This window comes from Homo sapiens, chromosome 1 (assembly GCF_000001405.40).
Source record: "Homo sapiens chromosome 1, GRCh38.p14 Primary Assembly".
Lineage (NCBI taxonomy): Eukaryota > Metazoa > Chordata > Mammalia > Primates > Hominidae > Homo > Homo sapiens.
This window is the reverse complement of record NC_000001.11, coordinates 35,782,282-35,810,057: the sequence shown is the minus strand read 5'-3', so window position 1 is coordinate 35,810,057 and position 27,776 is coordinate 35,782,282. Positions and strand designations below refer to the sequence as shown.

The 27,776-nt window shown below is 45.7% G+C and overlaps 1 protein-coding gene and 1 long non-coding RNA gene across 10 annotated transcripts in view, besides 5 other annotated features; both read right to left on the bottom strand.

Annotated features, from left to right (window-relative positions):
- Positions 1-2,422, bottom strand: part of AGO4 (argonaute RISC component 4) — a 50,255-nt gene extending 47,833 nt beyond the window's left edge. For 7 of the 9 annotated variants that reach the window (XR_246244.4, XR_246243.4, XR_001737019.2 and 4 more), the window contains exon 1: positions 1,623-2,042. Coding sequence is in view for 3 of the 9 variants with exons in the window: in NM_017629.4 (NP_060099.2) it covers positions 1,623-1,641 (19 nt within the window). In the remaining 6 variants the exon portion in view is untranslated. Of the gene's footprint in view, positions 1-1,622; positions 2,043-2,334 lie in introns of those variants that run through there. The other 2 variants (NR_146062.2, XM_005270578.4) reach the window with 1 other exon arrangement.
- Positions 990-1,269: an enhancer, noted in NCBI's record as "active region_738". NCBI's record gives its function as "activates an Ori minimal core promoter by ATAC-STARR-seq in GM12878 lymphoblastoid cells {active_cell/tissue: GM12878}" and the evidence as "EXISTENCE:reporter gene assay evidence [ECO:0000049][PMID:35858748]".
- Positions 1,420-1,669: a silencer, noted in NCBI's record as "silent region_648". NCBI's record gives its function as "represses an Ori minimal core promoter by ATAC-STARR-seq in GM12878 lymphoblastoid cells {active_cell/tissue: GM12878}" and the evidence as "EXISTENCE:reporter gene assay evidence [ECO:0000049][PMID:35858748]".
- Positions 1,950-2,159: a silencer, noted in NCBI's record as "silent region_647". NCBI's record gives its function as "represses an Ori minimal core promoter by ATAC-STARR-seq in GM12878 lymphoblastoid cells {active_cell/tissue: GM12878}" and the evidence as "EXISTENCE:reporter gene assay evidence [ECO:0000049][PMID:35858748]".
- Positions 2,369-2,868: an enhancer, noted in NCBI's record as "H3K27ac hESC enhancer chr1:36272791-36273290 (GRCh37/hg19 assembly coordinates)". NCBI's record gives its function as "activates a minimal SCP1, AML or CMV promoter by ChIP-STARR-seq in naive H9 embryonic stem cells {active_cell/tissue: H9 hESC(naive)}" and the evidence as "EXISTENCE:reporter gene assay evidence [ECO:0000049][PMID:30033119]".
- CLSPN-DT (CLSPN divergent transcript) overlaps positions 3,118-27,776 on the bottom strand; it is a 36,846-nt gene continuing 12,187 nt past the window's right edge. The window contains exon 3 of the long non-coding RNA NR_199050.1: positions 3,118-3,313. This is a non-coding gene — a long non-coding RNA (CLSPN divergent transcript). The remainder of the gene's footprint in view (positions 3,314-27,776) is intronic.
- Positions 5,286-5,335: an enhancer, noted in NCBI's record as "active region_737". NCBI's record gives its function as "activates an Ori minimal core promoter by ATAC-STARR-seq in GM12878 lymphoblastoid cells {active_cell/tissue: GM12878}" and the evidence as "EXISTENCE:reporter gene assay evidence [ECO:0000049][PMID:35858748]".

Below are 27,776 nucleotides of genomic sequence, written 5' to 3'. Positions count from 1 at the left end.
AAAAGCTAAAATCAAAACAAAAAAAAAAAAGAGTCCCTGGGCAGTGCCTAATATCACCAGGTTGATCCTTTCCATGAAATTCAGTTTATGCCCACAGTTACACAATTTCTTTCGATATCAGATCATAAATGCAACAGTTGTTTCAATTATGAATTACTAGGGGGAGGGAAGAAACATCTGTTGAGCATCTATAGGCACTAGTCTCTACAATAAGACTTATCATATACTCTCATTTCATTCTCTCAACAATCTTACAGAACATACTTATTATTACCCTCAATTTATAGACGAGAAAATGAAAGTTCAAAGGAATTGAGTAATTTTCCCAGGGTCATACAACTATTACATTACTAGATTGAATCTGTTACATTCCTAAAGACCTGAGCATGTCTTTAGCCAGGGGACATATCTGAAGTTAACCTGGCATAATACACTGAAGTTTATCAAACAATATTAATGCGGCAAGCCAATTTATTTTTAAAAGGCATATGAAATTTGATTATGAGGGCCTTTAAACAATACTTTAAGAAGCAAATTAGGGTGGGGCTTAATCACTCAGCTATGCAAACAAGTGCTAAGTAAACAAACGTGCCAAGTTTCCAAACTCAAATGGCAACTCGAATTTTCTACGCACTAAAAAGATGAAACACTCTACGACTAAGTTCATTATGTAGGTAAAGTTTGAATATTAAAGTGAATTCCACCACAGCCCCTAAACACTGAGCTACTTAGCCAAGGCATTAGAAACCTGTTGGGCTTTGAGGTGGAAGCACCAGGCCCCAATACTCAGGACACTTGTTACAGCCTGGAATGGTTCTTCTGGTTTGGATAGAGAGAAATAACCAGAGGCCATCCATATCCACAACAAATTAGTTTCCAAAGCACTTTCTCCTTCATTTGATCCTCACAACCACTCATAACCCAATTAGAAGAGAACTCAGGGCATTGAAGCCTGTGGTGGAGCAGACTGACTGGCAACTCCTGTGTCACTCAAAGGCTGGCTCAGACCACTCTGAGACTAACACACAGACTGAGTGACAGAGGCACAGGACCATGTTCTTTGGGACATCAGGGCCTTTCAGAAAGGGTGGGCATTTTGTCCCTTGACCTTCAGAGATCATGAGAGGTGTTTGGATGAAGTTCTTCTTCCTCATCTGAAGGCTCTGGACCATCTGCCAGTGCAAAGAAAAATAGGGGCGCGGCCCCAAACCAGGACTACCGGCTGGTAGTAGGCAGCGGGGCCCTTTTCCCGGTCTGGGCCAGGCCTCCGCGCGCACTGGGTAGCGGATCGCCCCCTTCTGAGGCCCAAACTACCCTCGTCGCGACCCCGGGCACATATCGTCTCCCCGAGGTGGGGCCAAGAGTGGCCTCCGCCCGGCAGCGCCGGTCACCTTCCCGAACCTCCCCCCTGGACCTCGGGATCCACCCAACGGCCGGCTGGGGCGCGGTCACCGCCCCCCAGGCCCGGGTCAGCTCCCTCCGCTTCGTGCTGCGGGGCTCGGGTCCCCTTCCCCGAGGCCTGGCGGCCCGAACCCGGCGAGGCGACGGGGCAGCGAAAGTCCCGGCCGCCCGCCCCGGGTCCCGGGTCCCGGGTCCCGCCCCGACCCGAGCTCGCTCCTCACCGGGTCCCAGCGCCTCCATGGCGGCGGCGGGGGCCGCCTCGCCCCGGTCCCCGGCGCCTCCCGCTCCGGGCCCCGCCGCCGCCGCCGCCGCCGCCGCGTAACGCTTGATCTCCGGAATATTGGCGCTGGGGTGGCGCCGCGGAGACGCGGGCGCTGGGCAGGGGGCGGCGGCGGCGCCCGGCCCGGGGACAGGGACCCGGCTCCGGCTCTTCCGGCCTCAGCGACAACAAAAACAATCCCCGCCGCCGCCGCCGCCGCCGCCGCCAACGGGAGCGGGAGCGGGAGCCAGCGCGCGCGCCCGCCGGGAGGGAAGGGGGCGCGGGGTGCGCGGACCCAGGGTCCCGGCGGGCGGAGGGGGCGTGCGCGGCCCCGGGCGCGGGGTCCACAGAGCCCGGCAGGCGGCGAGGCGGGTCGGGGAACGAGCGCGCGCCCGGAGGGTGCAGAGCCCGGTGGACGTGTCGGGCACGCGCCCGCTGGCCCGCTCTGCCCCGTCCACCCGAGGAGGCCGTCCGGTGGCCAACGGCTCTGGGGGCTACGTGCCATCCCCCCAGGGCGTCCTGCAAAAGATCTGGATTCCAGTTCCGCTGACCCACAGATTCAGTTTTCCACTTCTGTGAGTGGAAAGTGTACTGAGATTCACAGGAGCCACCTCGCCTCCCTCCTCCCTCCTCCCACCCCAGATCGCTTCTGTCATCTCGTCTTTTAGGGTCACCTTAGACGCTAGCAGTCCTCCTTCATCCCTTCATTCAGCACCACACACCCAACTGCGCGTCCCTCTCCGTATAGCCGGAAGGCACCACGGGAATGGACCCTGATGAATGATGCATTCCCTCCCTGGTCCCATGACAAGCGCCTCTGGTCAGCAAATCACCAGTCACTTTAGAAGAGAAAGGTCTTGGCCGGGCGTGGTGGCTCACGCCTGTAATACCAGCACTTTGGGAGGCGGAGGCGGGTGGATCACCTGGGGTCAGGAGTTTGAGACCATCCTGGCCAACATGGCGGAAGCCCATCTCTACTAAAAACACAAAAAATTAGCCGGGCGTGGAGGCAGGCGCCTGTAATCCCAGCTACTTGGGAGGCTGAGGCAGGAGAATCGCTTGAACCCGGGAGGCAGAGGTTTCAGTGAGCCGAAATCGGGCCACTGCACTCCAGCCTGGGCGACAGAGCAAGACTGTCTGAAAAAAAAAAAATAAAAATAAAAGAGAGAGAGAGAGAGAAAGGTCTTGCTTTCTTGGATGCCTTCCCCTTAGCAGACAAAAGCCAAGGGAGCAGCACCACCTCCAAGGCAGCATGGTCAGCCCAGCAGGCACAGCATCTTTAGGGCTTTCAGTAAGGACTTTGAGTGGGAGAACACTGGACAACAGGCCAAGAAGCAGTTTCTAGTCAGCAGAAGGAAGGAGCCCCTTGTCCACCAATTGAAAAGGTACGATGAGTTTGTGTGTGTGTGTTGTATTCCTTTGCTACGGCATAACGTAACAAAGTACCACAGACTGGGTGGCTTAAACAACAGAAATTTATTTTCTCACAATTCTGGAGGCTGGCAGTCAGAGATACGATGTAGGCAGGGTTGGTTCCTTCTGAGGCCTATCTCCTTCACTTGGTAGATAGTGGCCTTCTCCCAGTGACTTCACGTGGTCTTCCCTCTGTGCACGTCTGTGTCCAAATTTCCTCTTCTTATAAGGACAGCAGTCCTATTAGAGTAGGGCTCACTCTAGTGACCTCGTTTTAATTTAATTACCTCTTCAGAGACCCTGTTTCCAATTACAGTCACATCCTGGGGTGCTAGAGTTAGGACTTCAATATACAAATTATTGGGGTGGGGGATAATTTAGGCCCCTAGCATGTGTGGTGGGATATTCATTTGAGCACCTGCCATGTGCTGTCACAGAGCCAGGTAGTTTTTTTATGTAATGATAAAAAATATTAGCATCACATCCTGGCCATGCACTCTGCTATGGGCTTCTCATTGTCACTCAATCTTTACAACCACCAGTAAGGTAGATATTGTTAAGAAAGGTATTTGTACAGATGATGACACCGAAGCTCAGGGAAGTTAAGTAAGTCGGGCTTTGCATTACATGATGCTGAAGTGAAGCATGGGAAAAATTGGAGTTCAAATCTTGCATTTAAGTCCTGGCTAATTCTCTCCCTGATTGGCTATGGAACTAGGACTTTTATTTTTTTATTTTTTATTTTTTGAGACGGAGTCTCGCTCTGTCGCCCAGGCTGGAGTGCAGTGGCGCCATCTCGGCTCACTGCAAGCTCCGCCTCCCGGGTTCACGCCATTCTCCTGCCTCAGCCTCCCAAGTAGCTGGGACTACAGGCGCCCGCTACCACGCCCGGCTAAATTTTTTTTTGTATTTTTAGTAGAGACGGGGTTTCACCGTGTTAGCCAAAATGGTCTCGATCTCCTGACCTTGTGATCCGCCCGCCTCAGCCTCCCAAAGTGCTGGGATTACGAGCTTGAGCCACCGCGCCCGGCCGGAACTGGGACTTTTAATCTAGTGCCTACATTCTTGTCTACTGATACCATACCCTATATTCTTTTATTTTTTTTGACCCGGAGTCTCGCTCTGTCGCCCAGGCTTGGGTGCAGCAGCGCGATCTCGGCTCACTGCAAGCTCCGCCTCCCGGGTTCACATCATTTTCCTGCCTCAGCCTTCCGAGTAGCTGGGACTACAGGTGCCCGCCACCACGCCCGGCTAATTTTTTGTATTTGTAGTAGAGACGGGGTTTCACCATATTAGCCAGGATGGTCTCGATCTCCTGACCTCGTGATCCGCCCGCCTCGGCCTTCCAAACTGCTGGGATTACAGGCGTGAGCCACCATGCCCGGCCACCATACTCTATATTCTTTTCACAGCATCATGCTACCTCTCTGTTAAACCAGATAGTAACTGGAAATAGTAATAGGGGACAGAATGTTCAAAGGGGAGAAAGTATTTACTAAACGATCAGACTGCTGCACAGCTAAGAAAAGAAAAACCAACTAGAGTTGGCCGGGCGCGGTGGCTCACGCCTGTAATCCCAGCACTTTGGGAGGCCGAGGCAGGCGGATCATGAGGTCAGGAGATCGAGACCATCCTGTCTAACACAGTGAAACCCCGTCTCTACTACAAATACAAAAAATTAGCCGGGTGTGGTGGCGGGCGCCTGTAGTCCCAGCTACTCTGGAGACTGAGGCGGGAGAATGGCGTGAACCTGGGAGGCGGAGCTTGCAGTGAGCTGAGATCAGGCCACTGCACTCCAGCCTGGGCGACAGAGCGAGACTCCGTCTCAAAAAAAAAAAGAAAAAAAAAAGAAAAACCAACTAAAGTTCAAGTTTTTCACTTCACGCTAAGTTCCACCTACAGTTTAAACAATGCCGGTGTCTCCAATAGCCTGGTTTGTGGCTGACTCTCCCAACCCCACTTCCTAACAAAATTTCTCTATATTCTATTTGCTACCCTGAGCAGAGACCACAGCTTGTTCCCTGGACTGAAAATAGTTTTTCCACTAGCTTTAGAGGCTGAAGTATGAAATTTATTCACCCCATAGTTCCAGTTGGGACCGAAATGTCTCACTCAACAGAGTGATTCTTGATTACTCTGATCATCTACCTTCTCATTTCAAAACTCACTCTCACTCAAACACCCACTGTTCCTTTTCCAAAAACTATTCCTACAGAACCCTCCCAAACCAAATTTCTGTAGTCAATAAACTCCTCTAAACCTTGGCCTGCTCAGCAAGCCCTCCCTCCACTTCCTGCTGTGGCTGAGAAGCCATGACCCAGAATGTCACTTCCCCTGCAGCTCTCTCTGATGGTGGTTGCTCATTCTTCCACATCGCACATGCCTCCAGGACAGGGTAGGGCATGAGTAAAGAATTGACAACATATTTGCCCCATCATACGAAACTTTGAATTCTTATTTTCATATTAAAACCATTTGCCGGTCGGGCGCAGTGGCTCACGCCTGTAATCCCAGCACTTTGGGAGGCCGAGGCAGGCGGATCACGAGGTCAGGAGATCAAGACCATCCTGGCTAACACGGTGAAACCCCCTCTACTAAAAATACAAAAAAATTAGCCAGGCGTGGTAACACGCGCCTGTAGTCCCAGCTACTTGGGAGGCTGAAGCAGGATAATCGCTTGAATCCTGGAGGCGGAGGTTGCGGTGTGAGCCGAGATCCCGCCACTGCACTCCAGCCTGGGTGACAGAGAGAGACTCCGTCTCAAAAAATAAATAAATAAAATAACTAAATAAGTAAATAAAACCATTTGCCATCTAGCCACACCATCACAGAGCCTCCTTTGGGGGTACAGTTAACTCAACTCCTGGTCTTATGTTTCATTCCAGGCCTGGCTCCCATGATAGTGAAAATCCTTGAGGGCAGGGCTCATTCAAGCATTCAGGTTTGTTCTCTGTTGTCCACCAACCTACCAGGCACCAAATGACTATTTGTGGACATTTATGGAGTGAATGAATGAATAAGTGAATGTATAAATTGTGGAAGCTACAAATGGTCCAGTAGAGGGGCCAAGGTGAAAAACTCTGGGTGAGGTGCCAGCTTCTCTAGAGCACAGATTTTCAAATCAGATGGTCCTGGGTGCAAATCCCAGTTCCTTAATGCACAAGCTCTGAGTGTCTCAGGTATGTCTCATCACCTACTGCTTAAGGATGTCTTGAGGAGGAAGTTAAATTATATATGTGCCTGCTCCTGTGTATCTGGCACAGAGATAGTTACTAGTTCTCCTTCCTTCCTACTGTTCCCCCTCCAAAAAGTCACAATGTGATGTCTCTCTTCTCCCATGCTGCTGTCATGCTGTCCTTTGAGAGACACTGAGCTCAAGATCTCAGCTGAGTCAAGAAAGGAAAGCAGCCTGTAATCCCAGCACTTTGGGAGGCCAAGGTGGGCAGATCACCTGAGGTCAGGAATTTAAGACCCGCCTGGCCAACATGAAAAAACCTCTTCTCTACTAAAAATACAAAAATTAGCTGGGCGTAGTGGCGGGCACCTGTAATCCCAGCTACTCAAGGAGGCTGAGGCAGGAGATCACTTCAACCTGGGAGGTGGAGGTTGCAGTAAGCCGAGATCGTGCCACCGCACTCCAGCCTAGGTGACAGAGTGAGACTCCGTCTCAAAAAAAAAAAAAAAAAAAGAGGAGAGCAGAGCCCCCAAGAACTGAGCATGTTTACATGTCTTATGCCTGAGCCACCTGAAGACAGGGCCTTGGCTCACCCCTCTTGGGGTGAGAGCCAGGCACAAAGAACATCCTTGATCAAGGTGTATAAGTGGAACTGAACTTCTTGAATATATCAATGCTTGCCTGAAGCTAGGCCTTGCCAGGGGGAGCCTTACTAGTGGATGCTGTTTTAGAAAGCTGTTTTAGAAAGCAGGGCGCCAGCTACCAGTGCTGCATGGGGCACTCTGAGCCACTGGTCTCTGTCAGTGCTTTGACTCCCCAGCCTTTCCTTACCCCAGCTTTCCTCAAAGTGTGGAGCTTAGGAGTTGAGGTGGAGCTTCTTTGGTTTATCAGTTGGGCCAGGGGTTTTAATTCTTCTTTAGCTGGGGAACCCGTTATTCAAATAAAAATCTTCAATGTAAACTGAAGTGGAGCCACTCTGTTAGAGATGGACAGAGACCTTCATTGAACACTACTGAACTAGACCAGCTCGCCACGAGCCACCACCTAGCATCTGAATAGAATTTTGGCCCACCTGCTCCTACTCAATTGGCAGCTTTGCTCTTTTGCATCTTTCTTTTAAGAGATGGGGGTCTCATCATGTTGCCCAGGCTGGTCTCAGACTCCTGGGCTCAAGTGATCCTCCTGCCTTGGCCTCCCAAAGTGCTGGGATTACAGGCATGAGCCACCTCGCCTGGGCTTCATTGCTTTTTGTGGCTGAATAATATTTCACTGTGTGGATATGCCACATTTTATTTATCCATTCATCAGTCGGTTGACATTTGGGTTGTTTCACTGTTTGGCTATAATAATACTGCTATGAACATTCATGTACAAGTTTTTGTGTGGACATACATTTTCAGTTCTTTTGGATATAATCCTAGAGGTAAAATTCCTGGGTCATATGTAACTATGTTTAACTTTTGACAAACTGCCAAACTGTTTTTCCTCAGTAGCTGTATCATTTTACATTTCTACCAGCAATGTATGAGAGTTCTAATTTTTCCATATTCTTGCCAACACTTAATTTTATTTATTTATTTACTTTGAGACAGGGTCTCCCTCTGTTTCCCAGGCTGGAGTGCAGTGGCACAATCATGGCTTACTGTAGCCTCAACCTCCCCAGCTCAAGCAATCCTCCCACCTCATCCTCCCACCTCATCCTCCTGAGTAGTTGGGACTACAGGCGTGCACCACCACATTCAGCTAATTTTTGTACTTTTTGTAGAGAGTAGAGACAAAATCTCACTCTGCTGCCCAGGTTGGTCTTGAACTCCTGGGCTCAACTGATCCTCCTGACTTGGCCTCCCAAAGTGCTGGGATTATGGGCATGAACCACTGCACCTTGCCTACACTTATTTTTAGATTAAAAATATTATAGCCATCTTTCTGCATGTGAGGTGGTATCGCCTTGTGGTTTGCATTTTCCTAAGTACTAATGATGTTGAACACCATGTACTTACTGGCCATTTGTATGTCTTCTTTGGAGAAATGTCTATTCAAATCTTCTGTCCTTTTAAAAATTGGATAATTTATCTCTTTTGTTATTGAGCTGCAGGAGTCCTTTATACATCCTTGATACCAGTCCCTTATCAGGTGATTTGCAAAACTTTCCTACGTTCTGCTGGATATTTCACTTTCCTCTTTTTGTTTTTAACGTTCCTTCCTGCACACTGAACTATTTCACTTTTTTAATGGTGTTCTTTGAAGTACAAAAGTTTCTCATGTAGATGAAGTCCAGTTTATTTTTTTCTTTGGTTTCTTGTGCTTTTTTGTTATTATCTAAGAAATCTAATCCATGATCATGAAGATTTATTCCTATGTTGTCTTCTAACAGTTTTAGTTTTAGCTCTTACATTTGGGTCTTTGGCCCATTTTGAGTTAACTTTTGTATACAGCATGATGTAGGGGTTCAAAATCATTCTTTTGTATATGAATACTGAGTTGTCCAAGCACCATTTGTTGAAAAGACTATTCTTTCCCCTAATGAATGGTCTGGCACCCTTGTTGAAAATTAGTTGACTGCTGGGCGCAGTGGCTCACGCCTGTAATCCCAGCACTTTGGGAGGCTGAGGCAGGTGGATCACCTGAGGTCAAGAGTTCTAGACCAGCCTGGCCAACATGGTAAAACCTCGTCCCTACTAAAAATACAAAAATTAGCCAGGCATGGTGGCAGGTGCCTGTAATCTCAGCTACTCGGGGGGCTGAGGCAGGAGAATCTCTTGAACTTGGTTGCAGTGCGCCGACATCGCACCATCGCACTCCAGCCTGGGGCACAAGAGCAAGACTTTATCTCAAAAAAAAAAAAAAAAGAAAAAGAAAAGAAAAAGAAAAGAAAATCAGTTGACTGCTGGGGGCGGTGGCTCACACCTGTAATCCCAGCACTTTGGGAGGCCGAGGCAGGTGCATCACCTGAGGTTGGGAGCTCGAGACCAGCCTGGCCAACATGGTGAAACCTTGTCTCTACTAAAAATACAAAATTAGCTGGCATGGTGGCGGGCACCTGTAATCCCAGCTACTTAGGAGGCTGAGGCAGGAGAATTGCTTGAACCTGGCAGGCGGAGATTGCAGTGAGCCGGGATTGCGCCACTACACTCCAGTCTGGGTGACAGAGTGAGACTCCATCTCAAAAAATAAATAAAAAAGAAAGTCAGTTGACTATACATGTAAGGGTTTATTTCTAGACTGTTAATTCTATCCCGTCAATCTTATGTCTATCCTTATGCCAGTATCACATTGCCTCAATTACTGTAACTTTGTAGTAAATTTTGAAATCAGGAAGTGCAAGTCATCCAACTTTGTTCTTCTTTTTCAAGATTGTTGTGGCTATTCTGGGTCCCTTGCATTTCCATATGAATTTTAGGATATGCTTGTCCATTTCTGCAAGAAAGGCAGTTGGAACTTGTGTGTGTGTATGTGTGTGTGTGTGTGTGTGTGTGTGTGTGTGTATGTGTGTGTGTGGTTTTTCTTTTCTTTTCTTTTTTTTTTTTTTGCGACAGTCTCACTCTGTGGCCCAGCCTGGAGTGCAGTGGCGCCATCTCACGATCTCAGCTCACTGCAACCTCCATCTCCCGGGTTCAAGTGATTCTCATGCCTCAGCCTCCTGAGTAGCTGGGATTACAGGCACGTGCCACCATGCCTAGCTAATTTTTTGTATTTTTAGTAGAGACGGTGTTTCACCATGTTGGCCAGGCTGGTCTTGAACTCCTGACCTCAGATGATCCACCCGCCTCGACCTCTCAAAGTGCTAAGATTACAGGCATGAGCCACTGAGCCCAGCCTTTTTGTTGGAATTTTGATATGAATTACATTGAATCTGTAAGTCAATTTGGGGAGTATTGCCATCTTAACAATATTAAGTATTGCAATTCATGAACACAGGATATCTTTCCATTTATTTATGTATTCTTTAACTTATTTCAACAATGTTTTATAATTTTCAGTGTTTAAAAAAAAACCGCCGGGCACAGTGGCTCACGCCTATAATCTCAGCACTTTCGGAGGCCGAGGCAGGCAGATCACGAGGTCAGGAGATCGGGACCATCCTGGCTAACACGGTGAAACCCTGTCTCTACTAAAAATACAAAAAATTAGCAGGTTGTGGTGGCACTTGCCTGTAGTCCCAGCTACTGGGGAGGCTGAGGCAGGAGAATGGCATGAACCTGGGAGGCGGAGCTTGCAGTGAGCTGAGATCGCGCCACTGCACTCCAGCCTGGCCAACAGAGTGAGACTCCATCTCTCAAAAAAAAAAAAAAATTCTATGGTTAAATTTATTCCTAAGTATTTTCTTATTTTTGATGCTATTGTAAATGGAATTGTTTTCTCAATTTCATTTAGGATTATTCATTGCTAGTGTTTAGAAATATTATGCAACTGATTTTTTTATATTAAACTTGCATCTGCAACCTTACTGAACTCATTTATTACATCTAACATGACGCTCCCTGGTAGTCTACTGGTTAGGATTCGGTGCACTCACTTATTACCTCTAACAGGTTTTTTGTGTGGATTCTTTTTTTTGTTTTTTGGGGGGTAGGTGGGGATGGAGTCTAGCTCTGTTGCCCAGGTTGGAGTGCAGTGGTGCGGTCTTGGCTCACTGCAACCTCCGCCTCCTGGGTTCAAGTGATTCTTCTGCCTCAGCCTCCCAAGAAGTAGCTGGGATTATGGGCACCTGCCACCATGCCAAACTACTTTTTGTATTTTTAGTAGAGATGGGGTTTCACTGTGTTGGCCAGGCTGGACTCGAACTCCTGACCTTGTGATCCGCCCGCCTTAGCCTCCCAAAGTGCTGGGATTACAAGTGTGAGCCAATGCGCCCGGCCTTGTGTGGATTCTTTAGGGTTTTCTATATATAAGATCATGTCAGCCAGGCGCAATGGCTCACGCCTGTAATCCCAGCACTTTGGGAGGCCGAGGTGAGTGAATTGCTTGGGCCCAGGAGCTCAAGACCAGCCTAGGCAACATGGTGAAATCCTATCTCTCCTAAAATCACAAAAAATTAGCCAGGTGTGGGGGTGCATGCCTGTAGTCCCAGCTACTTGGGAGGCTGAGGCAGGAGAATCACTTGAGCTTAGGAAGTTGAGGCTGCAGTGAGCCAAGATGGTGCCACTGCACTCCAGCCTAGGCAACAGGAGTGAAACTCTGACTTAAAAAAAAAAAAATCACAATAGCAAAGACTTGGAACCAACCCAAACGCCCATCAGTGATAGACTGGATAAAGAAAATGTGGCACATATACACCATAGAATGCTATTCAGCCATAAAAAATAATCAGTTCATGTCCTTTGCAGGGACATGGATGAAGCTGGTAACCATCATTCTCCACAAACTGACACAGGAACAGAAAACCAAACAGAGCATGTTTTCACTCATAAGTGGGAGTTGAACAATGAGAACACATGGACACGGGGAGGGGAACATCACACACTGGGGACTGTCAGGGAGTGGGGGGAAAGGGGAGGGATAGCATTAGGACAAATACTTAATGCATGCGGGGCTTAAAACCTAGATGATGGGTTGATGGGTGCAGCAAACCACCATGGCACATGTGTACCTATATAACAAACCTGCACATTCTGCACATGTATCCCAGAACTTAAAGTATATATATATAAAAACATGTCAACTGCAAATAGAGATAGAGATAGTTTCACTTCTTCCTTTTCAAAATAGATACTTCAAAAAAATTTTTCTTGCTTAATTACCCTCCAGTACAAGGTTGAACAGAAATGTCTCTTTTGTATTTCATAGGCAGCTTTCTGCATGTTCATAAACGCCAGGAATAAAGAGACTTGGCAACTGTATTTGATTTTACCATCTTTGTCAATGAGATGGCATAGCTAGCAAGGAGAGCAATGCCTCAGGCATTGATAAACAATCAATGAATATGTTTGCTTTTACTTTCAGCCTTTATTTCTACTCACTTTTTAACCACACCAATTGATTTTTCTTTCTCTTCCTTAAGATGAAGTAAAGGGAATGAATTATGAAATGAGATAAGCCTGCATTCAAATTCCGATTTATATTCTAATTCTCCAATTTCAATTTTATAGGCCATGTTACTTTAAGTTGTCTCCTCACCTCTCTGAAACTCAACTTCCTCAACTGTAAAATGGAGATGACACCAATCGTTTCATAGGGTTATTGAAAGGATTAAAGGAGATGAATGGAAAGCGTCTAACAGAGTGCCTGGGACTTTGAATGGGCTCAAAAAGTGCCCAATCCCTTTCACTTCCTCCTTAGTGCTGAACAAGCCTCTTTTATCTGTAGGTTGGGAAAAATGACTGATTTTTATTTTTTTTTTATTTTTATTTTTTGAGACAGGGTCTCACTCTGTCACCCAGACTCAAGTGCAGTGGTGTGATCACAGCTCGTGTAGCCTCGACCACCCTGGACTCAGGTCATCCTCCTACCTCAGCCTCCCAAGTAGCTGGGACTATAGGCGTGCGCCACCATGCCCAGCTAATTTTTGTTTGGGCACAAATGATCCTCCTGCCTAGGTCTCCCAAAGTGTTGGGATTACAGGTGTGAGCCACTGCACCCAGCTATAATTTTAAAAAGACCTTTCTAATACCCAGAGTGATTCAAAGAAGGAAGGGGTCTTGGGAAGTAGTGAGCTCCAAGTTTAGGGGGTGTTCAAGCATGATGTTTGAGGGGCTTGAGATTATGTTTGGAGTGTTTGAGATGATGAAAAGGTAAAGTCAGATGACTTTTGTGGTTCCATAGAATCTATTAAGTTGTGTGAAGATATGTATTGACTAACGTGTTATTCTGTTTTTTCAGCAACTATTTATTGAGTATCTACCATGTGCCAGACCCTGTGGTAAGTAATGGGAATCCAAGAGTGAGCAAGAGAAGCAGGGTTCCTGTCCTCTGGGAGTTCACAGTCTTGAATGAGACTAACAATAAAAGGCAAAAAAACAAAAACAAAAACAAAAAAAAACCGAATAAGATCACTACAAAGTGTGATGAGCATTGTAGCAGAAATAAACTAAATGAGAGAGTTTACCTAGGGGAGGCAATTTTAGAAAAAGTAGAAAGGGATTGCCTCTCTGATATAGGGAGGCTGTATCACTGATTTGAACTGAGCACTTCTGGTGGTTTTAAAACAGGGCCACAAATTATTTGAGATTTCACCCATCAGGAGGTAGGGTCTATGTCCTCTCTCCTTTTATATGGATGGGCTTATGACCACTTTGACCAATGGAGAATGGCAGAATTGATACTATGTGATGTCCAAGGCTAGGTGATAAAAGGCCATCTAGTGCTTTACCTTGCTCAGTAGAGCACTCTCTCAGGGGAACCCTGAGCTGTCATGTAAGAAGTCTGACTGCTGGGCATGGTGGCTCACGCCTGTAATCCCAGCACTCTGGGAGGTCGAAGCGGGGGGATCACCCGAGGTCAGGAGTTCGAGACCAGCCTGACCAACATGGAGAAACCCCGTCTCTATTAAAAATACAAAATTAGCCGGGCATGGTGCCGCATGCCTATAATCCCAGCTACTCGGGGGGCTGAGGCAGGAGAATTGCTTCAACCCGTGAGGCGGAGGTTGCAGTGAGCCAAGATCGCGCCATTGCAATCCAGCCTGGGCAACAAGAGCAAAACTCCGTCAGAAAAATAAAAAAAAAGTCTGACTACCCCACTGGAGGCCACCATGTTGGAGAGGCCGTGTATAAGTGATCCAGTCGACTGTCCCAGCTGAGCCCAGCTTTCCAGCTCTCCCTGATTAAGGAGCCAGATAGGTGAATAAAAAAGCCTCCAGATGATTCCAGCCACCACCCAGTTGAGTTACCCTCATCTACTTGAGTCTTGCTAGCTGAAGCCCCAAATGTTTCAGAGCAGAGACAAACCATATCAACTGTTCTTTTTTTTGTTCTTCTTCTTTCTTTTTTTTTTCTTGAGACAGAGTCTTTCCCTGTCACCCAGGCTGGAGTGCAATGGCGTGATCTTGGCTCACTGCAACCTCCACCTCCTGGGTTCAAACAATTCTCCTGCCTCAGCCTCCTGAGTAGCTGGGATTATAGGAGTGCACCACCACTCCCAGCTAATTTTTTTTGTATTTTTAGGAGAGACAGAGTTTCACCATGTTGGCCAGGCTGGTCTCGAACTTCTGACCTCGTGATCCATCTGCCTCGGCCTCCCAAAGTGCTGGGATTATGGGCATGAGCCACTGCGCCCGGCCTCAACTGTTCTTTTTCTGAATTTCTGACTCCCAGAATCCATAAGCATAATAAAACGGTCGTTCCTTTGTGCCACTAAGCTTTGGGGGTAATTTGATACCCAGCAATAGATAACTATAACAGCAAACAAAACACTTTATTTTTCTTTCCTTTCCCAGTCCTGGATCACCCTCCTGCAAGTATAAATGAGTGAAAACATGACTTAAAGATGTAAAGAGGAGGAGGCAAAGGAAGGTAATGAGAAAGCAGAGCAGGAGGAGATGGAAAGGGTAACAAAAAAGATTGATGAGGAGGAGAAGGAACAGGAGTCCCCATGATACCAACGCAATCAGACAGAGAGGATTCGGGGAAAAAACAGAGAATATGGATCTTTAAGCAGATCAGAAATGTTGTTAAAGGTAGAGGAAGATGAAGTAGAGACCGGGTGCAGTGGCTCACACCTGTAATCCCAGTACTTCGGGAGGCCGAGGTGGGTGGATCACTTGAGGTCAGGAGTTTGAGACCAGCCTGGCCAACATGGTGAAACCCCATCTCTACTAAAAACACAAAAATTATCCCAGCATCGTGGCATGTGCCTGTAGTCCCAGCTATGTGGAAGACTGAGCAGGAAGAATCACTTAAACCCGGGAGTCAGAAGTTGCAGTAAGTCATGATCACACCACTGCACTCTGGCCTGGGCAATAGAGTGAGACCTTGTCTTAAAAAAAAAAAAGGAGAGGCAGCGGGGCGGGCACTGTGGCTCACACCTGTAATCCCAGCACTTTGGGAGGCTGAGGCGGGTGGATCACTTGAGGTCAGGAGTTTGAGACCAGTCTGGACAACATGGTGAAACCCCATCTCTACTAAAAATACAAAAATTAGCCGGGCATGGTGGTGGGCGCCTGTAATCCCAGCTACTTGGGAGGCTGAGGCAGGAGAATCACTTGAACCTGGGAGACAGAGGTTGCAGTGAGCCGAGATGGCGCCACTGCACTCCAGCCTGGGCGACAGAGCGAAACTCGGTCTCAAAAAAAAGAAAACAAACAAACAAACAAAAATGGCCGGGTGCGGTGGCTAACGCCTGTAATCCCAACAGTTTGGGAGGCCAAGGTGGGAAGGTCACCTGAGGTCAGGAGTTCGAGACCAGCTTGGCCAACATAGTGAAACCCTGTCTCTAGTAAAAATACAAAAATTAGCCGGGTGTGGTGGTGCATGCCTGTAGTCCCAGCTACTGGGGAGACTGAGGCAGGAGAATCGCTTCAACCCAGGAGGTGGAGGTAGCAGTGAGCTGAAAGTGTTCCACTGTACTCCAGCCTGGGTGACAGAGCAAGACTCCATCTCAAAAAAAAAAAAAAAAAAAAAAATTAGTTGGGCCTAGTAGTGCATGCCTGTAGTGTCAGCCACGAAGCTGAGGCAGAAGGATCACTTGAGCCCAGGAGATTGAGGCTGCAATGAGCTATAATTGTGCCACTGCACTCCAGCCTGGGTGACGGAGCCGGATGCTGTCTCAAAATAAATAAGTAAATAAATAGGCCGGGCGCGGTAGCTCACACCTGTAATCCCAGCACTTTGGGAGGCCGAGGTGGGTGGATCACTTGAAGCCAGGAGTTTCAGACCAGGCTGGGCAACATGGTAAAACCCCGTCTGTACTAAAATTACAAAAGTTAGCCAGGCATGGTGGTGCATGCCGGTAATCCCAGCTACTCTGGAGGCTGAGGCAGGAGAATCACTTGAACCTGGGAGGCGGAGGTTGCAGTGAGCTGAGATCATGCCACTGCACTTCAGCCTGAGCAACAAACTGAGACTCTGTCTCAAGAAAAAAAAAAAGAAAATACGTAAATAAAAAAAATAAGTAAATAAACAAAACAAAATAAAAAGTATCTACCAGAAACCAAAAGCAAACATTATGTTTGTAGTGGAGGTCTCCCATAAGGGAATGCCTACACTGTGAATCCCACAAAGGCAATAATTCAGGGTTAAATAAGTATCTAAATGTTAAATACAAATGTATTCTATTAAATATTTTACATTAAATACAGATACATCCTGCTAAGTTGCACATGTTACTGTAATATGCACAAGCTGTCCTACCCATGCAAGAACAAGGTATAAGGGGTAACTGAGAAAGTATTTGGGCAGCCCCTTAGTCTCCATGAAACTCACCTCATATAAACTGTTAACATCTTGGTCACCTGACCAGGACATTTGTATGAGACCTAGAATATCTCTTCCATGATGTCTTGCCATCTGCTGAATGAGGCATCTCTAAGTAAACAGCTTGATTGGATAATGCATGCATGTTTCTCATAAATGAGGGTCAATCCTCCAAATTATGTTATAATAAAAATGGCAAACCGCGGCCGGGTGCGGTGGCTCACGCCTGTAATCCCAGCACTTTGGGAGGCCGAGGTGGGCAGATCACGAGGTCGGGAGATCAAGACCATCCTGGCTAACACAGTGAGACCCTGTCTCTACTAAGAATACAAAAAAGTAGCCGGGCGTGTTGGCGGGCGCCTGTAGTCCCAGCTACTCGGGAGGCTGAGGCAGGAGAATGGCGTGAACCCGGGAGGCGAAGCTTGCAGTGAGCCGAGATCGCGCCACTGCACTCCAGCCTGGGTGACAGACCAAGACTCCGTCTCACGCACACACAAAAAAAGGCAAACCGCAAACCTCACTAAAATAAAGAACAAGAAACACATACCAATTTTTCATCTTTACTAGTCAACATTATATTGACTAAGGACAAGTAAAAGAAGACGTATTAATATTTTTAAAAAGAGATAATACAAGTCCCCAGTAGCTGGACTTGAAGATTAAAGATGCTACCTAGAAAATCCAAGCAAATCACTAGCCTGAGCAACACAGCAAGACTCTGTCTCTATAAAAAATTTTTTAAAAAATTTAGCCAGGCTTGGTGGTGCACTCCTGTAGTCCGATCTACTCAGAAGGCTGAGGCTGGAGGACCACTTGAGCCTAAGAGTTGAAGGCTGCAGTGAGCTATGATCATGCTGCTGCACTCCATCCTAGGTGACTAAGACCCTGTCTCAACAACACCACCACCAACAACAAAACAAATAGAAAAAGAAAAGAAAGGAAAAGAAAAAGAGGCCAGGTACAGTGGCTCATGCCTGTAATCCCAGCACTTTGAGGGGCCAAGAGGGGCGGATCACTTGAGCCCAGGAGTTTGATATCAGGCTGGGCAACAGTGAGACCCCCATCTCTACAAAACATCAGAAAATTACTTGGGCATGATGGCACACAGCTATAGTCCCAGCTACTCAGGAGGCTGAGGCAGGAGGATTGTTTGAGCTTGGAAGGTAGAGGCTGCAGTGACCCTGTCTAAAAAAAAAAAAAAAAAAAAAGAAAAGAAAAAACTCCAAGTGAATCAACTGAAAATTACTAGAATGAATGACAGTTAATACAATGATTATGTATAAAATTACCATATAAAATTACCGTATAAAAATCAATAGCTTGGCCGGGCACGGTGGCTCACGCCTGTAATCTCAGCACTTTGAGAGGTTGAGGTGAGTGGATCACCTGAGGTCAGAAGTTCGAGACCAGCCTGGCCAACATGGTGAAACCCCGTCTCTACTAAAAATACAAAAATTCGTTGGGCATGGTGGTGGGCACCTGTAATCCCAGCTACTCAGGAGGCTGAGGCAGGAGAATTGCTTGACCCTGGGAGGCGGAGGTTGCAGTGAGCTGAGATCGCACCACTGCACTCCAGCCTGGGGGACAGAGCGAGACTCCATCTCAAAACAACAACAACAACAAAACACCAATGGCTTTCCTATGACCAATGATAATTTATTAGACTATGTCATTAAAGAATATCAATTCATAATTGCTGCAAAATTTATAAAGAACCAAGAAATAAATTAAGAGTGTGAAAATCCTCCATGAATAAAATTGTGCAGTTTTACTCTAAGATATAAATAAGACCCAAATAACACATAGAAAGCCACTTCTTTTAAAGATGTTGCTGGGTGTGGTGGCTCACGCCTGTAATCTCACCTCTTTTGGAGGCTGAGATGGGCGGATCACCTGAGGTCAGGAGTTCAAGAACAGCCTGACAAACACGGCTAAATCCCGTCTATACTAAAAATACAAAATTAGATGGGCGTGATGTCTCATGCCTGTGATCCCAGCAACTCCGGAGGCTGAGGCAGGAGAATCGCTTGAACCCGGGAGGCAGAGATTGCAGTGAGCAGAGATCGTGCCATTGCACTCCAGCCTGGGCAACAAGAGTGAAACTCCGTCTCAAAAAAAAAAAAAAAAAAAAAAAAAAGTCATTTATCCTCAAATTAATCTATTAATGTGTTTTTTAAAGTGAAATTAAGCAAGCTGACAAAAAATGTTAAAATAGCCAAAAATATGAACCAAGCAGGAGGAGAAACCCTATCAGATATCAAAATGTGTAATAAAGCTATAATTACTCAAATAGAATTTTTTGGCTTAAGTTAAATAAACATAAAAAAACAGTTAAATCTCCAAATCCAGATTATCTATCTACCCATCTATCTAGCTAGCTACCTACCTACATACCTACCTACTTTCCTGGTGGACTTTAGTACATGATAAACATGGCATTTCACATTAGAAAGGAAAAGAATGACTATAGTAAATATTGTTGGGACAACTGGTTATCCGTTTGGAAAAAATTATATGTTCCAGTCATTCTTTATATCATATACAGAATAAATTCCAGTTTGATTAAACAAAAACAAAATAATAAAATAATAATAAAATAAAATAATAAAATAATAGTAGAAAATATAGAATATTTTCAAGTTTAGGGTAGCAGAAGGAGAGGTATTTTTGAACAAGACCTACAATTTAGAAACCATAAAAAAACCTAATATATTAATTACACGAAAAATTAAAACTTCTCCCAAAAACTGTCATAAAATTAACTATAGTTACTACAAGTCCATAGTAAAAGATTAACAATGCAGTAGAAAAAATGGGAATTCACATAAGAAGGCATGAAAAGGTGTGCAATCAGCAATCGAAACTACAAAGAACAAAAATGATACTTTAAAAAAGTTCATAGTCCCATCTCGGCTCACTGCAACCTCCGCCTCCCAGGTTCAAGCTATTCCTGTGCCTGAGCCTCCCGAGTAGCTGGGATTACAGGTGCCCACCACCATACCTGGCTAATTTTTGTATTTTCAGCAGAGATAGGGTTTCACCATGTTGGCCAGGCTGGTCTCGAACTCCTGACCTCAAGTGATCCACCCGCCTTGGCTTACCAAAGTGCTGGGATTATATGCATGACCCACTGCATCCAGCCTACCATTTTATTTTTTAAGACAGGGTCTCACTCTGTTGCCTAGGCTAGAATGCAGTAGCATGACAGTGGCTCACTGCAGCCTCTATCTCCCTGCTCAAGTGATCCTCTCACCTCACCCTCCCAAGTAGCTGGGACTACAGGCGTGCGCCACCATGCCCAACTAATTTTTTGTAATTTTAGCAGAGACGGAGTTTCACCACGTTTGCCAGGATGGTCCCGATCTCCTAACGTCGTGATCTACCCGCCTTGGCCTTCCAAAGTGCTGGGATTACAGGCATGGGCCACCACGCCCGGCCTAATTTTGTATTTTTAGTAGAGACAGGGTTTCTCTATGTTGGTCAGGCTGGTCTTGAACTCCCAACCTCAGGTGATCCACCAGCCTCGGCCTCCCAAAGTGCTGGAATTACAGGTGTGAGCCACAGCACCCGGTCTGACAATATATTTCTGTTGTTTTAAGCCACCTAGTTTTTGGTACTTTGTTACACAGTCCTAGGAAACTATCCAGGGAGCAAGAGTGAAAGCAGGGAGACCACAAGGCCAACTAGTGCTTGGCTTCAGCTCAGTGTTGATGGTGGCCTGAGTGAAGGTCGTCACTATAGATCTAACTACATTTTGAAGGTAGAATTTGATAACAGACCAAATATGGGGTATGAGAAAAGGGGAGGCATTAAAAATAATTCAAAAATTTCAGTGCTGTCAGTGCCCCAGACATCTGCATTTCTGAGCCTGAGGCCTTTGCCAGAAGTACAAAAGGAAAGCCACTCTAACGGTTCCTACCTTAGACTGAAAGTGCTGAAAAATTATCCTGCCTGGGGGAAGCCCTCAACCAGTGATTCTCAGGAGCTGAGGTATAAATACTCCTGGCTCTCTCTCCCTCAGGTGGGATAATTCTGAGGCATGTGTTCTACACTATTTCCTGGAGTTTCCCTGCAGGACTGAGATCCAGTCAATCAGTGGTAGCTGGCTTAATAACACACCCTTTATTGGCTGCTGTCCCTTCCACATGTCATTTCCCACTCTCCTTCAAGTGGTCCCTGTACTTCTAAAATAAATTACTTGAACACTTTTAGGGGAACAAACTAATACATAACATTTTTGGCTTGAGCGACTGGAAAGATATTTATTAATATTTATTTATTGGTCGGGCGCGGTGGCTCACGCCTGTAATCCCAGCACTTTGGGAGACCGAGGTGGATGGATCACAAGGTCAGGAGTTCGAGACCAGCCTGGCCAACATGGTGAAACCCCATCTCTACTAAAAATACAAAAAAATTAGCCAGGTATGGTGCTGTGTGCCTGTAATCCCAGCTACTCAGGAGGCTGAGGAAGGAGAATTGCTTGAACCTGGGAGGCGGAAGTTGCAGTGAGCCAAGATTGTGCCACTACACTCCAGCCTAGGGGACAGAGAGAGACTCTGTCTCAAAAAAAATTATTAATAAGTTGACATTTATTAAGATGAGGGAGACTTTAGTAGATACAGATTCTTGGAGAGAAGATTGGTAATATATTTTGGGTTTTTGTTTTGTTTTGTTTTGACACAGTGTGTTACTCTGTCGCCCAGGCTGAAGTGTAGTGGCATGATCTCAGCTCACTACAACCTCTGCCTCCCAAGTTCAAGCATTCACCTGCCTCAGCTCCCCCAAGTATCTGGGATTACAGGCATGCACCGCCACACCGGGCTAATTTTTGTATTTTTAGTAGAGACGGGGTTTCACCATGTTGGCCAGACGGGTGTCGAACTCCTGACCTCAGGTGATCTGCCCACCTTGGCCTCCCAAAGTGCTGGGATTGATTACAGGCATGAGCCACCACTCCCGGCCAGTAATATATTTTGAACACATTAGTTTTGAGGTGCCTGTAAGGTCACCAAGTGGAGAGGCTGAGTACGCATAGAGATATACAGTCTGGAGTCAGAAGATAAATTGCTCTAAAAATATACATTTGGGAGTCAACTGCATATAAAGAATATTTAGGGCCACGAGGCTGATAAGCTTACTAAAAGAGTGAGTGTAGATGGAGAAAAGAAGAGGTCCTTGTGTCCTGGGCATTGCAACATGTAAAGGTCAAGGAGGTGAGGGAGATCCAGCAAAGGTGATTGGAGAGGATCAGCCAGGGAGGTAGAAGGAAGAGAAGAGTGTGGGAAACCCCAGAAACAAAGGGAGTTACATGTTCTATTAGTCTTTTTCTTTTTCTTTTTCTTTTCGTCTCCCTCATTTATTTTCGGGCTTTCCTTAAAAGTCTGGTGATCCTTTTTTGTCCATTCACATCAAAGAGGTAGGTATTAAAAGACTGATTTGAATTCTGTATCTATGTATGAGGTTTGTCCGTTGGTAGCTTTTCATAATGGAAGCCCCAACTTTAGGTCATTTCTCTGGGGCTGTTTAGTTTCTCCTGAAAATTCCCCCATTTGCATGCCTAGGGAGGGAGCAGCCTAGCCACCAGGATAAGGAGACTGTGGGGGCTGGGGTAGGAATGGACAGAGAAGGGTGTGTCTCATGGTTCAATATGTAGACTTCCAGTGGCTCGCTCTCTCTCTTAAGGCTCCCCTTTGGTTCAGTTGCTCCACAGACTAAACCTCTAGACTCCTGCCAGACTCCTGAAAGGTTCTAGATCATAGAGGGCTCTAGAGGCTACCTAATCCTTATAGAGACTTCCTTTTTTTTTTTTTTTTGAGACGGAGTCTCGCTCTGTCACCCAGGCTGGAGTGCAGTGGGGCGATCTCGGCTCACTGCAAGCCCCGCCTCCCGGGTTCACGCCATTCTCCCGCCTCAGCCTCCCGAATAGCTGGGACTACAGGCGCCTGCCACCATGCCCGGCTAATTTTTTTTTTTTTTTTTTGTATTTTTTTTTAGTAGAGACGGGGTTTCAGCGTGTTAGCCAGGGTGGTCTCGATCTCCTGACCTCGTGATCCACCCGCCTCGGCCTCCCAAAGTGTTGGGATTACAGGCGTGAGCCACCGCTCCCGGCCTAGAGACTTTCAACCAATCCTCTTGTCTTTCACCCATTCTTCTTCCTGGGTTCCTGGATCCCCTAGTATTTGAGCCTAGCTGGAATTCTGTGGCAGGAAATGGCTAGCTTCTCATGAGCACCACCTCTGCAGACACTTGGTATACAGCTTTCTCACCACAGCTGATTTTTCCACTTAGCTTTCCATCTTCTCATCCTCTGATGTTTTTCTCCCACTCTCTTTGTTCTTGTGGGTTTATTCTGGTTTTATTCATTTGCTCTCATTTTTTCTGGGGCTCCAGGAAAGGAGATAAATATATGTGTTCAAACCACCGTTGTTCCTCCTTCACAGGAGGAATCAAATATCCAGATTATCAAATATCCAGCAATTTTTAAAGTTCTGGGACCACAATTTCAGGAAAGATATAAGCTCTTCCCTGTAGAAGCCACATTCCTTGGAGTTCTTGGTACTTCTGGAGCTCCACAGTATTCCTTGTTTTCTTTTTCCCAGAGGCTAGAAATGGTCCAGAAGCATTTCTGCCTGGTCCATCCATCTGTTTTCCAGCTATCTGACTGTGGAGGCATGTCCTACTTCCCGAGGAGCCAACTGAGGTTGTCTCCTCCCTGTTGCCAAGCCTTATGTGTCTGAGATCCACATAGCAGAAATATATGTACAACTGTATTAAGTCCTTAAAGTGAGGGTAGTTAGGAAAAGTCATCTTTAAGTTATATGGAGAAAATATTTGGAAACTTTGGGCTGAGAACGTGTGTATGGAGTGGGTGAAGGCAATTTGGGCCACAAAGCTTTTTTTTTTTGAGACAAGGTCCCTCTCTGTCACCCACGCTGGAGTGCAGTGTCGCCATCTCAGCTCACTGCAACCTCTGACCCCTCAGGGTCAAGTGATCTTCCACCTCAGCCTCCCAGGTAGCTGGGACTACAGGCGTGCACAACAGCATCTGGCTAATTTTTGTATTTTTTGTAGAGATGGAGTTTTGTCATGTTGCCCAGGCTGATCTCGAACTCCTGACCTCAAGTGATACGCCCGCCTCGACCTCCCAAAGTGCTGGGATTGCAGGCATGAGCCACTGTGCCCGGCCCTGGGCCCCAAATCTTAACTTACATTATTGTATACACATCCTGGTGTTTCTAAATCTGCCAAAGTTAGTGCTGATAATAATTTAAAACATTTTCATAACGCTTGTTATAAGCCAGTAATATTCTATGTGCTTGTCTATTAATTTATAAAATAAATAATTATAGGTTAACTATATAATCTTCAATAACCTTATGAAGGGGGTACTGCCATTATCTTCAATTTATAGCTAAAGAAACCAAAGCACAAAGGAGTTAAATACAAGCCTAGGGCAAGGGGCTGTCACTCCAGAGTCCATGTGCGTAACCCCTAATCTATGCTGCCTCTCTTCTTAGGTTGTATTTTGTTTTGTCTAATTCATAAGATGAAATTTTAGGATACCAAGTCTCAGAAACCAATCAAAGGCTTTTATATACTATTTATTTTCTACATATTTAACACCTATACCATATCTCGATAGTACCCTCACTGATTTTAGCCCTCTGTTTAAAAATGAGATTCTTCCACTATCTGAATAGTTCTGAATCCCAGAGGTCGTATTGCTTCTTTGTAGTTGGGGTTAGTGATAGAGATGCCTGCACCCTTGCAGAAGAGTCTCTGAGTACTTCAGCGCTTGGTCTGAGTTGTGGTACCAACTAGAAGGAAGGGTCATTCTCATTTTCATGATTTTCCCAGTGGACAAAGTCTGTGGGTCCATAGTGAATTCTATTACAATTTCCTTTTTTTCTTATTGGGGATATGAAGGAAAAAGTCTTAATCTACTTATGGATGCATCTGTTAAAAAATGAAAGGTGGCCGGGCACAGTGGCTCACGCCTATAATCCCAGCACTTTGGGAGGCTGAGGTGGGTGGATCACCTGAGGTCAGGAGCTCGAGACCAGCCTGACCAACATGGTGAAACCCTGTCTCTACTAAAAATACAAAAATTAGCCAGTCCTAGTGGCGGGCGCCTGTAATCCCAGCTACTCAGGAGGCCAAAGCAGGAGAATTGCTTGAACCTGGGAGGTGGAGGTTGCAGTGAGCAGAGATCATACCACTGTACTCCAGCCTGGGCGACAGAGCAAGACTCCATCCAAAATAAATAAATAAATAATAAAATAAAATAAAAGGTGGGGCTGGGCACAGTGGCTCATGCCTGCAAATCCAGCACTTTGGGAAGCCAAGGTAGGCGGATCACTTGAGGTCAGAAGTTCGAGACCATCCTGGCCAACATGGTGAAACCCCGTCTCTACTAAAAATACAAAAATGAGTTGGGCATGGTGGTGCGCGCCTGTAGTCCCAGCTACTTGGGAGGCTGAGGCAGGAGAATCACTTGAACCTGGAAGGCAGAAGCTACAGTGAGCAAACATCACTCCACTGCACTCTAGCCTGGGCAACAGAGCAAGACTCTGTCTCAAAAAAGCAAAATAAAATAAAATATAAAATAAATTAGTAGGGGCACTGCAGGCATTAGCCAGGGGTACAGAAGCTACCTTGCAAAAGCTAGATGCAGGGCAGCAAGGTGGAGAGGGATTTCCTGAGGCACAGAAAATTGGGGGTGAGAATAAATCTCAGGTGATCCCCAAATTTAGCAGCTGAGCTATAAAGTAGAAAGAGATCTTCCACAGTTCAGAAAGTTGGCGGCCTGTTGGTTTTTTTGTTTGTTTGGTTCGTTTTTTGTTGTTGCTGTTTTGTTTTGAAATAGTCTCACTCTGTCACCCAGGCTGGAGTGCAGTGTCGCAATCTCGGCTCACTGCAACCTCCGCCTCCCAGGTTCAAGTGATTCTCATGCCTCAGCCTCCTGAATAGCTGGAATTACAGGCACACACCACCACACCTGGCTATTTTTTGTATTTTTAGTAGAGACGGGGTTTCTCTACGTTGGCCAGGCTGGTCTTGAACTCCTAATCTTGGTTGATCCGCCTGCCTTGTCCTCCCAAGGTGCTGGGATTACAGGTATGAGCCACTGTGCCCGGCCCTATTTTTTTTTAGACACAGGATCTCCTCTGTCACCCAGGCTGGAATGCAGTGGTGTGTTTATAGCGCACTGTAACTTTAAACTCCTGGGCTCCAGAGATCCTCCTTCCTCAGCCTCCCAACTAGCTAGGACTACAGACTCATGCCACCATGCCTGGCTAATTTTATAAAATTTTTTGTAGAGATAGGGTCTCACTATATTGCCCAGCTGGTCTTAAACTCCTGGCTTCAAGCCATCCTCCCACACAGGCAACCCACTTTAAAGCATAAAGAGTTTACTAGAATATTGCTGGTGCTCAGAGTCTAAGCCCTGCTGAAAGGAATCCTGATATGCCCTCAAAACATGTGAAGCCAGTGGTGAACTGAATCTAACTAAAGCTGCAACAAAGCTCAGATCCAGCTCTACTACAGATCACATTGACTAATTTCCCCCACAATAGTGATCTGACAAAAAGGGGCTTCCCTTTTTTTTAAAATTTTTGTTAGTTTCTACAGTTCTTTTACATAAAATATCCCAGCATATAATAAAAAACACAAAGAACACACAAAGACACACAAAGGACAAAAAAAAGTATGGCCATGTCAAGAGAGAAAACAGTACTAGAAGCAGATGAAGTGATAGCTGAGATTTTAAATTATCAGAGAAGGACTTTGAAATAGCTCTGATAAATATGTAGAGGTTCTAGTGGAAAAGGTGGATAAAATGCATGAACAGATGGGGAAATTTCAGCAAAGAGGTAGAAACTATAAAAAAGAACCAAATGGAAGAGCTAGAAATGAAAAATTAGAAAGGAAATGTTTTTCAATGGGCTTAGCAGACTGAACACAGCAGAGGGAAGAATCAATATGCTTGAAGACAGGTCAGTATAAATTATCCAAACTAAGGTACAAAGAGAAAAAAAGAGTGAAAATATGGAACAGAGTGTCCAAGAATGGAGACAATATTAAGCATTCTAACATATGTGTAATTGGAGTCCCAGATGGAGAGGGGAGAGAAAAATCAGCAAAAGAAGTATTTAAAGAGATATTGGCTGAGATTTTTCTAAAATAGATGAAAGACAGAATGCACAGATCTAAGAAGCTTAGCAAATCCTAAGCAGGATAACTACATATAAAACCACACCTAGACATATAGTCAAACTACTGAAACCAAATATTAAAAATAACATTTTTAAAGTAGCCAGTGAAAATGGACATAGTGCCTCTAGGAAAACAACGATACAAAGAATGAATGACATCAGAAACGGAGACCAGAAAACTGGGGTCTGGGAGGAAGGGAGACAGAGGAAAAAACAAGGGAGACCAAAGGACAATGGATAACACTTTTATTTTTTATTTATTTTATTTGAGACAGAGTCTTGCTCTGTCACTCAGGCTGGAGTACAGTGGCGTGATCTCGGCTCACTGCAACCTCCACCTCCCGGGTTCAAGTGATTCTTCCACCTCGGCCTCCCAAGTAGCTGGCATTACTGGTGCCCGCCACCACGCCTGGCTAATTTTTGTATTTTTAGTAGAGACGGGGTTTCGCCATGTTGGCCAGGCTTGTCTTGAACTCCTGGCCTCAGGTGATCTGCCTGCCTTGGCCTCCCAAAGTGCTGGGATTACAGGTGTGAGCCACCAGGCCCGGCCTGGATGACACCTTTAAAGTGCTAGAAGAAAAAAAAATGCTTCAAAAATAAAATAAAAATATTTGCAGGTAGACAAAAGCTAAGAGAATTTGTTCCAGGCAGACTTGTATTATAAGAAATGCTAAAGTAAGTTCTAGAAACTGATAGGAAATGATACCAGATGAAAGTCCAGATTTGCAGGAAGAAATGAAAACTTGAAATGGTGAATATCTGAATAAATATAAAAGACCTTTTCAAAAATGATCTTTAATAAAGTATGTTTTATATATTTATATATGTATATATTGTGAGATTTACAGAATAAATATATAACAAGGATTCAAAGGACAGGAGGTAGGTAAATAAAATACCACTGTAAGGTTTCTTATATTATTTATAAAGGAGCACAGTATTATTTGAAAGTAGACTGTGGC